Source organism: Homo sapiens, chromosome 18 (assembly GCF_000001405.40).
Source record: "Homo sapiens chromosome 18, GRCh38.p14 Primary Assembly".
In the NCBI taxonomy this organism is placed as follows: domain Eukaryota; kingdom Metazoa; phylum Chordata; class Mammalia; order Primates; family Hominidae; genus Homo; species Homo sapiens.
The window spans coordinates 8,057,718-8,071,974 of record NC_000018.10 but is presented as its reverse complement, the minus strand read 5'-3'; the positions used below and the strand labels follow the sequence as shown (position 1 = coordinate 8,071,974).

The 14,257-nt window shown below is 39.2% G+C and overlaps 1 protein-coding gene across 36 annotated transcripts in view, besides 2 other annotated features; it reads right to left on the bottom strand.

Moving 5' to 3' along the window:
* Positions 1 to 14,257, bottom strand: part of PTPRM (protein tyrosine phosphatase receptor type M) — an 839,541-nt gene that overhangs the window by 334,882 nt on the left and 490,402 nt on the right. For all 36 annotated transcript variants that reach the window (XM_011525708.3, XM_047437715.1, XM_011525712.3 and 33 more), the window contains one exon: positions 1,981 to 2,289. In XM_011525708.3, the coding sequence (XP_011524010.1) occupies positions 1,981 to 2,289 (309 nt within the window). The remainder of the gene's footprint in view (positions 1 to 1,980; positions 2,290 to 14,257) is intronic.
* Positions 4,841 to 5,489: an enhancer, noted in NCBI's record as "OCT4-NANOG hESC enhancer chr18:8066484-8067132 (GRCh37/hg19 assembly coordinates)". NCBI's record gives its function as "activates a minimal SCP1, AML or CMV promoter by ChIP-STARR-seq in primed H9 embryonic stem cells {active_cell/tissue: H9 hESC(primed)}" and the evidence as "EXISTENCE:reporter gene assay evidence [ECO:0000049][PMID:30033119]".
* Positions 8,775 to 9,379: an enhancer, noted in NCBI's record as "NANOG-H3K27ac-H3K4me1 hESC enhancer chr18:8062594-8063198 (GRCh37/hg19 assembly coordinates)". NCBI's record gives its function as "activates a minimal SCP1, AML or CMV promoter by ChIP-STARR-seq in primed H9 embryonic stem cells {active_cell/tissue: H9 hESC(primed)}" and the evidence as "EXISTENCE:reporter gene assay evidence [ECO:0000049][PMID:30033119]".

The window sequence follows — 14,257 nt, the reverse complement described above, 5'->3', positions numbered from 1 at the left end:
GACAGCCTACAACCAGCTCTCCACATAAATTTCTTCTATCCCTAATGTATCTAAGAATTGTTATTATTCTCACTTCTCAGATCAGGAAATTGAGGGTCAGAGAGTTAAGGATCTTATGAAGTACAATTAAGGTCAGAGGGATGTGAATAACACAGACTGAAGAGCTGGAGACAGCTATGTGAAGGACCTGAAATGTGAGGAGAGCTTCAGCTGGTAGCAGAGTAGGCGAGCTTGAGAAGCGGCCAGGAGAGGCCCCGACTGGCCAAGGAGAACAATCAGGCAACGATGGGAAGCCCAGGATGCACAGAGCAGGCACAGGGACCAGCACTCAGGGATGGCTTTGCAGAACAAGATGCTGTGAAGGAGAAGTTATTACTCCTAGAATATGAGCCAAGAATACAGAAGACCTTGACAGCCAAGGCACTGGAATGAAGATTAAGTGAAGAGCCACTCAAGACTTTTGTAGAGAGACAGCCAAGATGAAAATACATTTTTAAGATTAGTGAGTGAGTGAGTAGGGGGACATTAGAATAGAAAAAGGCTGGAACCACAAAGAAAAGGTAGAAACAATTATAGAAATTTCAGCATAAAATAATAAGGATTTGAATACAGCCAATGGAAATTGACAGAAAAGAACAATCTAAAACTTTGGAAGTAGAAACAACAGATGTTAGGACCAGAGTCAATAGAGAAATGTAAGGCAGGAAGGAGCCAGCCATAACTTGATGACAATGTGGACACCATCTTCTCCTCTTCTGGGAGATGAGAGAGAGTTGGAAGAAACAGAAATAGAGCTTCTGGTCTCAGCCTTGCCTGAGTGGCTTCCATCAAACTTAGACTCCCTCTCAAACAACTGCTTGAGAGGAACCAACACAAGCAGGACTTGAGGGACAATAAAAGAGGAAAGAAAGGATGTGCAGTGAGTTCCTCATCTACTCCAGCTATTTCTATGTTTTTCTTCTACAAAAATACGCAGGTGCTGGGTAGGTAGAAACACTCAAAAATACTTTTTTAGCTCTTTAAATGAAACGATAAAGTAGTCTAAACATTCAACTCACAATTTAATCAATGGTCAAAATTACATTATCAGTTACATGAAGAAACAAAAAGCTAAACAACTATTTTTCTTAGGAATAGTCAGTTCATTCGTTTAATGGTCTTCCTACATTCTTTGTCATTCATTTTGATGCCGGAAAAATGATTTTTAGGTCAAATTTATGATATACTACCATTGTATTTTATGTACTATATGAATATGTCATTACACACAAGGGTTCCCTGTGTCATCTGTGTAAAGAAACATTTATATCCACGCATTGAGATTCAAGGCATAATTTTACTGTTTTAAATTACTATGGAGGTTTCCTGTATATTTGCTTTTTTGATGCGTTACTGGTGACATGCATGGTTTATTTGTAAAGTAGTTGTTTATTAAAGTAACATCCGGTTTCAACATTGTTCCTGTGGAGAAAAATGACCTGTTTCATGACCACCAACTTACAGTTTCTCAAGACTGTGTTGAAAAGCAAGGGCAGCCCCTATTTAGTGCTGAAATTTTATCTGAACTATGAAAAATGTTTCAGAATGCCATTTAAATATATTTAGGTAAACATTTTATATAAATAATCTAATACCCAAAACAACAATTTTTCAGTCCAATGATTTTATATAAATAATCTAATACCCAAAACAACAATTTTTCAGCCCAATGAAATAAAACTTGAAGAACTATTGAGAGCAATATGGAATGATTATATATAGAAAAGTAACTGTATGAGTAATAAAGAATGACATTTCTATATCTCTACTCCCTTTTCCCTCTTTCAATCAGCGCTTAAGAATACAGAGTACAGATACACATTTGTGTTGTTCAACAAAATAAGTAGTTCTTTCTTCCATCTGCACAGCAAAGATCTCGAAACAAAAGTTGTTTTTTGAAAGAACATGTTTTACACAAACATATCATTCAAAGGTACTCACGGTCTTCATCTGTCTGCACTATGAGTTCTTGGCTTTCCTTCCGGCCCTCTGGGTTCATGAGGATCAGTTTCACACTGACATTGGTGTATGGTGACAGGTTAGTGATCGTGTGTTGAGGGTGTGAGTTTTCTGTATCCCAGCTTACTTCTTCTCGCACTTGTTCTTGTCCTCCAACTTGGTAACAGTAGTGGACAGTGAGATTATAACTGTGGCAACGAGTTACATTATATCCAAATGGCTCCCAGCGGATAGTGATTTGCCGAGATTTGACCTCCACTACTTCTAGTTTTCTTGGGCCTCGCATGGGATCTATTTAGAAAAGAAGACAAAAGAAAACATGAGAGAGAAGAAAGATAAAGGCTCAGGTCAATCCCAAAGGTCACAGATATTCCCAGTTGTCCCCACCACCTGGTCTCCTCTTCTTCCTGGATAATAAATCCCTAAATCTTGGCTAGGCATTTGGCTACCCAGAATAAAGATGAAAGTTTCCATTATTTTCTGCAGATGGATGTGGCCATGTGCCTAAGTTCTGATGAATGGCATATAAGATGAAATGTCCAAAATAGTTTCTGAGAGGTGTTCTTAAAAGGCAGGGGCTCACCATCTTTGGTCCTTCTTATTTCCTATTAGCTGGATGGAGGATATGATGTTTGGAGCTCAGGCAGCCATGGTGAACCATGAGACACTTAAATGTTAAGAATTCAAAGCAATGATGAAGGAGGAGCCAGGGTCTCTGATATCACTGAACTACCATACCAGCCCTGACCTTCCTACTTCCAAACTTGTCATTAGGAAAAATTAAATGCTATCTTACTTAAGCCTCTTTTTCTCTGGGTCTCTGATAAAATAAACCAATCTGCTTTTTTTTTTTTTTTTTTTTTTTTTGAGACGGAGTCTCACACTGTCACCCAGGCTGGAGTGCAGTGGTGTGATCTTGGCTCACTGCAAGCTCCACCTCCTGGGTTCATGCCATTCTCCTGCCTCAGCCTCCCAAGTAGCTGGGACTACAGGCACCTGTCACCACCTCTGGCTAATTTTTTTGTGTGTGTGTGTATTTCTAGTCGAGACAGGGTTTCACCATGTTAGTCAGGATGGTCTTGATCTCCTGACCTCGTGATCCGCCTGCCTTGGCCTCCCAAAGTGCTGGGACTACAGGCGTGTGCCACCACACCCGGCCAAAATAAACCAATCTTAATACTGATACATGTGTTTTATCTTTAAACATTAATTTATAATCATGTAATTGGAAAACAAGAGTAAAAGCTTGAGAATTATACATGAAATAATATAGTAAGAGAACATAAACTTCTGAGCAGAGCAGGTATTTTTGGATTTCAATCTGAATAGAATTCCACACAATCAATGCTAAAGTAATTCTTGCCTGTTCATGACAATTTTTTAGTAATCTTATTTTAGCCCAAGCTCCAGGTACAGTTTCAAGCTTAGAAATCTAAATGACATGGAGAGAATATAAGCATTTTTGCATAATTTAAAACAAAATATATGCAGAGAAAGCTTAAATTTGTTTATGAAATAATGATGAAAATAAATACTACTACATAAATAACATTTACCAAGCACTTATAATGTACCATGCACTACTACAAAAAATTCAGCATTCAGGGTTTTAGGAAAAGCCTAACCTAAAATGTTTTGTGTTATACACCCATAGGTCATTTGATTCATAATTTTGATTTTTGTTTGTCTGAAGTGTGCTCACCAAATATGAATGTAAAGAGATCTACAATTGAGAAGGGACAATAAACTTGAGATATAAAAGCTACAGTTTATTGCACACTTACTATGTGTGAGTTGCTTTCTATAAATTTCCTATTCCTCAAAATAATCCTGTAAATATTTTTATTTCTAATATATAGACATAAAAATTGTGACCAAGGTAGGCTCAATAACTTGATCAGGGTCAGGGTTTGCTGTGGCATTCAAATTTAGACCTGACAACTACAAATCATGCTGTCCCCACTCCACTGTTTTCTCTACCAAACTAAAGAGAATCAAATAAGAAGAAATCAGGATATTAAAGATACTAAGACTTCACCTAAAACATGACCAAAGAATGTACAATATAATAAAGATCCAATGAATTTAAACTTGAGACAAAAGTGCTGAGAGGAATTCTTCCCCCTTTTCCTGCTAATTCTATAGACGAGAGGGTCAAGGCCACATTCCCCAGTTCAGCTGTACCAGAGAGCCTGGCCTGCATTTCAGGGTGCTGCAAACTTGTCTAGACTATTGTTGAAGTTCCCTTCTTGATTCCTATTTGTGCATAAATTCTTTGTGTCTGTTTTCTCCATCAATTATGCCACAGAGAGAACTTAAAATCCCCCCTTTTTACCTGCAACCTCTGACAAATGAAAATGTTTAAAATGGAATAATGTTAAATATGCAACGTAGCATTTACCAGATATCTGCTGCAATCATAAAATGGGATTAATAAAGATCATTCATGCTACTCTGTCCTGTAATAAATCTAAGAACCAAAGATGAAAACTCCTCCAAGAAATCGTGAGTGGCATTCTCATGGAATGTTCCCTATTACAAAATTAATTTTTCATATTTAAATTACTACTGTTGGGAAAATGTCATAAATAAATTATTTAGAAATAACATTGAAGGTTTTTTTCCCTAGACTAGTAACTTTTACAACTTAACGGAAATGTCTAATTTTATATAATGCTTCATTAGTTGAATGTTCATAAAAACTTCTAATAAGCTCCAGATCTCTATACATACACAGATCAACATGTGTCCCTTTGCCCTTTTCCTTATTAATCCCAGGCCTCCTATTCATCACAGGACTGTTCTAACGCATTTTCCTAAGGTTTTCATCAATTTTACTGACTAATAAAATGACTAAAGGCTTCAGATATTAGTTTAAACAAGAAGTACAGTTCTAACTTAATTTCAATGGAAAACTATTTTTCACTGCATAAATAAGTCTGCATCATTCAGTATTCCTTATCCAAGAAAATATATACTTAAATTAAAATTCAGGACTGAAAACAAAGGCTTCTGTCTGTGTACCGGTCAAGTATTTTTGCATGCTCCCTTTCTCTGTGAGCACCTTTTAGAATTCCATCATGGTAAAATTATGTCTCACATTTCCCATACATTTGCCAAGTACTACAGCTAAGCCTAACACAAAACAATCATTTCTATGACAAAGGCTCTAAATTGCCTATTGTCATGAGTGGTAATCAGACAGGAGACAGAGGCTGTATGAGGTCTAAATCTTAGATGAAAAGAGGGTGACACTCACTTTTTTGCATCTTTACGTTGAAGCATAACTACAGTTAACCAAAGCAAAACTATCTTACGGAAGCTTTTGCAGAGTATTTTCCTTTGTGCCCTCTGTGAGCCTTTGACTATGGTCTGTAGTTCTGCTGTGCCTACTAATGTGTTGCTATCAACGTGGCAGGGTCAATATCAATGGGGGTAGGAAGGGTCACGTCAACATAGGATAGGGATGAAGGCCTCTTTGACTCTGATTCTCATTTGTCAAAAGCTTACAGGATAAGTTAAATCAATACCATGACACAGGGACATGGTCCACTTCAGATGGAGTACTGTCATTTTCTCTTACCAGGGTCCAAACGCAAAGTTAAGAGGGATGGGGAAATGGCTGGAAAAGCAGATACATACAATAACATAAAGGAAATGCCATGTGCTACCATGTACCTATGACAGCAGCCTTCTTTAATGATAGTGTTGATAGGCTATGACCAATGACTAAGGAAATCTGACAATTCTTTTACTAATTCTCATACAATTCTTTTACAATTCTCATACTAAGCAAATTGCCTGATTTCAATGCTTCTTTGTTTTTACTTTTTTTTCTGCCATTTTGCAAAATTAAATTCTGATCCAGAAATGGATTTATAATAATTACATCTCAAGTTAGTGTTTTATAATACCTTTGTTTTCAATGTTTCTACAGAGCGATTTCCATTAGTGTGCTACTAACTGTGAATGAGGCATTCCACAGGGACATTTACTCTAGTGAGTTATACTGATGATCACTGAACACTCTGAAGGGCATCACTGTAGAAATATATTACACTGTAGGAAACAAATGGCAACTTCATAACCAGAAATGTGTAATTTTGGTAGGCTAATTGCAACTCACACTGCATTTCTGGGAGTAGAATACAAACACTGTCCCCCCAAAACATGGCACAGCATTACAAGCATTCTATGTGCACAATATAGATCTCTTACAGTTAGATAAAAGGGTAATAAATGGTATTCATAGGACCACTAGTTGTAGGAAATTTGTCCTCTTTCCTCACAATCCTGAGGATGCTACTGAGAATGGAATTGATAGCAAAGCCATTTTTCTTCACACTCACACCCTCTGGCCACACTGATGCCTCCCTGCTTCCCTGAAAGGGTATCATGACAGGCCCCGTTGGCATGAATCATGAGGCCAGTGGGTCCACTGTGGGCCCACTGACTCATGATAAGAGATGAGAATGGCCTCCCTATGGAGAAGTGCACTGGCTGTCACGCAGGAAGCTCAGTCAGTGAGCTCTTACCGACTCTCCCACTGATGCCTGCAGCATTTTTCATTCTGTTCTTTTTCTGCCAGCTTGAGCCAGGTTTCCAGCAGAGAAGTCTGACCTAAGGGACGAGCAAGCCCACTTCTAGCCTCCAGCACTTCAGCATCCTATTTAATCAGTGATCCTGGCTCCTTCTACATTCAGTCCTATTTTTCTATGAACAAGGGCAAAAACTGACTGATAGGATCAATTTCCATTGCAGGTTCAATTCACAGCTCATTTCTTTGGAACTCTGCACTTTACCTTTTATTACTACTACAGTGCTTTTTCAGAAACTCAATTTCAGAACCTGTGAGAGATATTTGGGTATAATTTTAGGATCATGTCATTGATAATCAAAAACATAGATTACAACCAATGCTCCCACTAACAGGTTTCTCTTTTCTACCTCTCAATGAACTCTATGGAGGTGTATTACAATAAAGGGAATAACAACCAGAATGGCATGGTGGGCCCCTTCAGGACCTCCAGCTACTGTACTCCTGCCTCACCGGTCACACTAGAGGGTGACAAAATAATAAAGCAATAGCTCCCTTTACTTTACTATTTAGTGAAATCAGAGCAAAGGTCTGAGTAACTAATATTATAGTGGCCTACCCCAAAATTCAGTATTCCTAGGCAGCAACGATTCTGGGTACATGGCCTTGTTTTTAGGTGAAGTAGTTAAAGGCTTTCAATTGGTCAGTGCTTTCCAGAGTTTAAAAAGTACCTTGTCAGTCAAGCTGAAATTGCTGGGATACAACAATCTTTAATTTACACTGCCCTACAGGCATCTATGTACTGGTGATGTAATGGAACGAATTCAAACTTATCCTAAAAATTATATAAATTTGAATATATTTTTCCTCCAGAATACTTTTCATAGATATCACATTAATAGTTTTCACATTTTATCATAACAAAAATCAAAAAATGCCCTTGGAAACAATCTGTTTTTCTTCAAAAAATCATACAATCCTATATAAGGGAGAATAGTATCTTCCTAACAAATAGGCCAAATTTCAAAAACAGTACTCGTTTAAGAGAAGCAAAAAAAAAAATAGTCTTACAGAATAAATGAAGGAAAGTGTAACAATGCCAAAGTCTACACAAAATCATTCTACTTTATTTCTTGGTTTAAGATGGACATAGTCTCACCATGTCTTTCTTGTATTCCAAATGCTGGTTTGAACTCCGCTTAAATTGTAAAGGTAAGTAAACTACTGCCCCATCTCGCTGGGAAATAGATTATCTACATAGCAACTAAATAATTTAATTTAAATTATTAAATTTAAAATTTAAAAAACTAATCATTTAAACTTCCATCATATTTGAAAGCTGGAATTCTTATTTACATGTTATGGCAAACATTCAGGATTATCTTGTATAATAAAATGACTAGGATATACACTTACAGTAAGAACACAGATCTCAGGTAAGGGAAAATAACACTCTAAACATAGGCCACAATTGACAGCCTAGAAGGAGCACTCCCTAGTGGTGTTAGGTAATGTTGAATGTTAGGTAATGCAGTATGTCCAAATGCTTTGCTTAGTTCTTGGTTTGGCTAGTACATTTAAAAAATAAAGTAAAAGAATACATACTGGACCCTGGGCTAGTCATTCAAGGTATCTGGTTTCAGAATAATTTCACCAAGTCTTTCAGGATAAATATTTTGAGAATTTTTTTAAGTTAAATTTTTAAGTAAAAAGCTTGTTGAATGCTGAAAGTTCAGACTTCACCACTACGCCATATATCCATATTGCATGACTGTACTTGTACCCCTAAATCCATAAAAAATAAAAGTGTTATTGAATAGAGAGGTTGGAAAAAGAGGGGTAGAAATTTACTGTTGATACCTTCCAAAATAAAGAAATGTGGGTATTGGTAAGGCACTTAATAATGATAACATGTCATATTTTATTCTCCCTGAATGATGAACTGTACAAAAATAAGGTTAGAAGTGTCACAATGGAAGATGGCCGAATAGGAACAGCTCCGGTCTACAGCTCCCAGCGTGAGCGACGCAGAAGACGGGTGATTTCTGCATTTCCATCTGAGGTACCGGGTTCATCTCACTAGGGAGTGCCAGACAGTGGGCGCAGGCCAGTGGGTGTGCGCAAGCCGAAGCAGGGCGAGGCATTGCCTCACCTGGGAAGCGCAAGGGGTCAGGGAGTTCCCTTTCCGAGTCAAAGAAAGGGGTGACGGGCGCACCTGGAAAATCGGGTCACTCCCACCCGAATACTGCGCTTTTCAGACCGGCTTAAAAAACGGCGCACCACGAGACTATATCCCACACCTGGCTCGGAGGGTCCTACGCCCACGGAGTCTCGCTGATTGCCAGCACAGCAGTCTGAGATCAAACTGCAAGGCGGCAGCGAGGCTGGGGGAGGGGCGCCCGCCATTGCCCAGGCTTGATTAGGTAAACAAAGCAGCCGGGAAGCTCGAACTGGGTGGAGCCCACCACAGCTCTAGGAGGCCTGCCTGCCTCTGTAGGCTCCACCTCTGGGGGCAGGGCACAGACAAACAAAAAGACAGCAGTAACCTCTGCAGACTTAAATGTCCCTGTCTGACAGCTTTGAAGAGAGCAGTGGTTCTCCCAGCACGCAGCTGGAGATCTGAGAACGGGCAGACTGCCTCCTCAAGTGGGTCCCTGACCCCTGACCCCCGAGCAGCCTAACTGGGAGGCACCCCCCAGCAGGGGCACACTGACACCTCACACGGCAGGGTACTCCAACAGACCTGCAGCTGAGGGTCCTGTCTGTTAGAAGGAAAACTAACAAACAGAAAGGACATCCACACCGAAAACCCATCTGTACATCACCATCATCAAAGACCAAAAGTAGATAAAACCACAAAGATGGGGAAAAAACAGAACAGAAAAACTGGAAACTCTAAAACGCAGAGCGCCTCTCCTCCTCCAAAGGAACGCAGTTCCTCACCAGCAACGGAACAAAGCTGGATGGAGAATGACTTTGACGAGCTGAGAGAAGAAGGTTTCAGACGATCAAATTACTCTGAGCTACGGGAGGACATTCAAACCAAAGGCAAAGAAGTTGAAAACTTTGAAAAAAATTTAGAAGAATGTATAACTAGAATAACCAATACAGAGAAGTCCTTAAAGGAGCTGATGGAGCTGAAAACCAAGGCTCGAGAACTACGTGAAGAATGCAGAAGCCTCAGGAGCCGATGCGATCTACTGGAAGAAAGGGTATCAGCAATGGAAGATGAAATGAATGAAATGAAGCGAGAAGGGAAGTTTAGAGAAAAAAGAATAAAAAGAAATGAGCAAAGCCTCCAAGAAATATGGGACTATGTGAAAAGACCAAATCTACGTCTGATTGGTGTACCTGAAAGTGATGCGGAGAATGGAACCAAGTTGGAAAACACTCTGCAGGATATTATCCAGGAGAACTTCCCCAGTCTAGCAAGGCAGGCCAACGTTCAGATTCAGGAAATACAGAGAACGCCACAAAGATACTCCTCGAGAAGAGCAACTCCAAGACACATAATTGTCAGATTCACCAAAGTTGAAATGAAGGAAAAAATGTTAAGGGCAGCCAGAGAGAAAGGTCGGGTTACCCTCAAAGGGAAGCCCATCAGACTAACAGCGGATCTCTCGGCAGAAACCCTACAAGCCAGAAGAGAGTGGGAGCCAATATTCAACATTCTTAAAGAAAAGAATTTTCAACCCAGAATTTCATATCCAGCCAAACTAAGCTTCATAAGTGAAGGAGAAATAAAATACTTTACAGACAAGCAAATGCTGAGAGATTTTGTCACCACCAGGCCTGCCCTAAAAGAGCTCCTGAAGGAAGCACTAAACATGGAAAGGAACAACCGGTACCAGCCGCTGCAAAATCATGCCAAAATGTAAAGACCATCGAGACTAGGAAGAAACTGCATCAACTAACGAGCAAAATAACCAGCTAACATCATAATGACAGGATGAAATTCACACATAACAATATTAACTTTAAATGTAAATGGACTAAATTCTCCAATTAAAAGACACACACTGGCAAGTTGGATCTAAGAGTCAAGACCCATCAGTGTGCTGTATTCAGGAAACCCATCTCACGTGCAGAGACACACATAGGCTCAAAATAAAAGGATGGAGGAAGATCTACCAAGCAAATGGAAAACAAAAAAAGGCAGGGGTTGCAATCCTAGTCTCTGATAAAACAGACTTTAAACCAACAAAGATCAAAAGAGACAAAGAAGGCCATTACATAATGGTAAAGGGATCAATTCAACAAGAGGAGCTAACTATCCTAAATATATATGCACCCAATACAGGAGCACCCAGATTCATAAAGCAAGTCCTGAGTGACCTACAAAGAGACTTAGACTCCCACACATTAATAATGGGAGACTTTAACACCCCACTGTCAACATTAGACAGATCAACGAGACAGAAAGTCAACAAGGATACCCAGGAATTGAACTCATCTCTGCACCAAGTGGACCTAATAGACATCTACAGAACTCTCCACCCCAAATCAACAGAATATACGTTTTTTTCAGCACCACACCACACCTATTCCAAAATTGACCACATAGTTGGAAGTAAAGCTCTCCTCAGCAAATGTAAAAGAACACAAATTATAACAAACTATCTCTCAGACCACAGTGCAATCAAACTAGAACTCAGGATTAAGAATCTCACTCAAAGCCACTCAACTACATGGAAACTGAACAACCTGCTCCTGAATGACTACTGGGTACATAACGAAATGAAGGCAGAAATAAAGATGTTCTTTGAAACCAACGAGAACAAAGACACAACATACCAGAATCTCTGGGACGCATTCAAAGCAGTGTGTAGAGGGAAATTTATAGCACTAAATGCCCACAAGAGAAAGCAGGAAAGATCCAAAATTGACACCCTAACATCACAGTTAAAAGAACTAGAAAAGCAAGAGCAAACACATTCAAAAGCTAGCAGAAGGCAAGAAATAACTAAAATCAGAGCAGAACTGAAGGAAATAGAGACACAAAAAACCCTTCAAAAAATCAATGAATCCAGGAGCTGGTTTTTTGAAAGGATCAACAAAATTGATAGACCGCTAGCAAGACTAATAAAGAAAAAAAGAGAGGAGAATCAAATAGACACAATAAAAAATGATAAAGGGGATATCACCACCAATCCCACAGAAATACAAACTACCATCAGAGAATACTACAAACACCTCTATGCAAATAAACTAGAAAATCTAGAAGAAATGGATACATTCCTTGACACATACACTCTCCCAAGACTAAACCAGGAAGAAGTTGAATCTCTGAATAGACCAATAACAGGAGCTGAAATTGTGGCAATAATCAATAGTTTACCAACCAAAAAGAGTCCAGGACCAGATGGATTCACAGCCGAATTCTACCAGAGGTACAAGGAGGAACTGGTACCATTCCTTCTGAAACTATTCCAATCAATAGAAAAAGAGGGAATCCTCCCTAACTCATTTTATGAGGCCAGCATCATTCTGATACCAAAGCCGGGCAGAGACACAACCAAAAAAGAGAATTTTAGACCAATATCCTTGATGAACATTGATGCAAAAATCCTCAATAAAATACTGGCAAACCAAATCCAGCAGCACATCAAAAAGCTTATCCACCATGATCAAGTGGGCTTCATCCCTGGGATGCAAGGCTGGTTCAATATACGCAAATCAATAAATGTAATCCAGCATATAAACAGAGCCAAAGACAAAAACCACATGATTATCTCAATAGATGCAGAAAAAGCCTTTGACAAAATTCAACAACCCTTCATGCTAAAAACTCTCAATAAATTAGGTATTGATGGGACGTATTTCAAAATAATAAGAGCTATCTATGACAAACCCACAGCCAATATCATACTGAATGGGCAAAAACTGGAAGCATTCCCTTTGAAAACTGGCACAAGACAGGGATGCCCTCTCTCACCGCTCCTATTCAACATAGTGTTGGAAGTTCTGGTCAGGGCAATCAGGCAGGAGAAGGAAATAAAGGGTATTCAATTAGGAAAAGAGGAAGTCAAATTGTCCCTGTTTGCAGACGACATGATTGTTTATCTAGAAAACCCCATCGTCTCAGCCCAAAATCTCCTTAAGCTGATAAGCAACTTCAGCAAAGTCTCAGGATACAAAATCAATGTACAAAAATCACAAGCATTCTTATACACCAACAACAGACAAACAGAGAGCCAAATCATGAGTGAACTCCCATTCACAATTGCTTCAAAGAGAATAAAATACCTAGGAATCCAACTTACAAGGGATGTGAAGGACCTCTTCAAGGAGAACTGCAAACCGCTACTCAAGGAAATAAAAGAGGATACAAACAAATGGAAGAACATTCCATGCTCATGGGTAGGAAGAATCAATATCGTGAAAATGGCCATACTGCCCAAGGTAATTTACAGATTCAATGCCATCCCCATCAAGCTACCAATGACTTTCGTCACAGAATTGGAAAAAACTACTTTAAATTCATATGGAACCAAAAAAGAGCCCGCATCGCCAAGTCAATCCTAAGCCAAAAGAACAAAGCTGGAGGCATCACACTACCTGACTTCAAACTATACTACAAGGCTACAGTAACCAAAACAGCATGGTACTGGTACCAAAACAGAGATATAGATCAATGGAACAGAACAGAGCCCTCAGAAATAACGCTGCATACCTACAACTATCTGATCTTTGACAAACCTGAGAAAAACAAGCAATGGGGAAAGGATTCCCTATTTAATAAATGGTGCTGGGAAAACTGGCTAGCCATATGTAGAAAGCTGAAACTGGATCCCTTCCTTACACCTTATAGAAAAATCAATTCAAGATGGATTAAAGATTTAAACGTTAGACCTAAAACCATAAAAACCCTAGAAGAAAACCTAGGCATTACCATTCAGGACATAGGCGTGGGCAAGGACTTCATGTCCAAAACACCAAAAGCAATGGCAACAAAAGCCAAAATTGACAAATGGGACCTAATTAAACTAAAGAGCTTCTGCACAGCAAAAGAAACTACCATCAGAGTGAACAGGCAACCTACAACATGGGAGAAAATTTTCGCAACCTACTCATCTGACAAAGGGCTAATATCCAGAATCTACAATGAACTCAAACAAATTTACAAGAAAAAAACAAACAACCCCATCAAAAAGTGGGCGAAGGACATGAACAGACACTTCTCAAAAGAAGACATTTATGCAGCCAAAAAATACATGAAAAAATGCTCATCATCACTGGCCATCAGAGAAATGCAAATCAAAACCACTATGAGATACCATCTCACACCAGTTAGAATGGCAATCATTAAAAAGTCAGGACACAACAGGTGCTGGAGAGGATGTGGAGAAATAGGAACACTTTTACACTGTTGGTGGGACTGTCAACTAGTTCAACCATTGTGGAAGTCAGTGTGGCGATTCCTCAGGGATCTAGAACTAGAAATACCATTTGACCCAGCCATCCCATTACTGGGTATATACCCAAAGGACTATAAATCATGCTGCTATAAAGACACATGCACACGTATGTTTATTGCGGCATTATTCACAATAGCAAAGACTTGGAACCAACCCAAATGTCCAACAATGATAGACTGGATTAAGAAAATGTGGCACATATACACCATGGAATACTATGCAGCCATAAAAAATGATGAGTTCATGTCCTTTGTAGGGACATGGATGAAATTGGAAACCATCATTCTCAGTAAACTATCGCAAG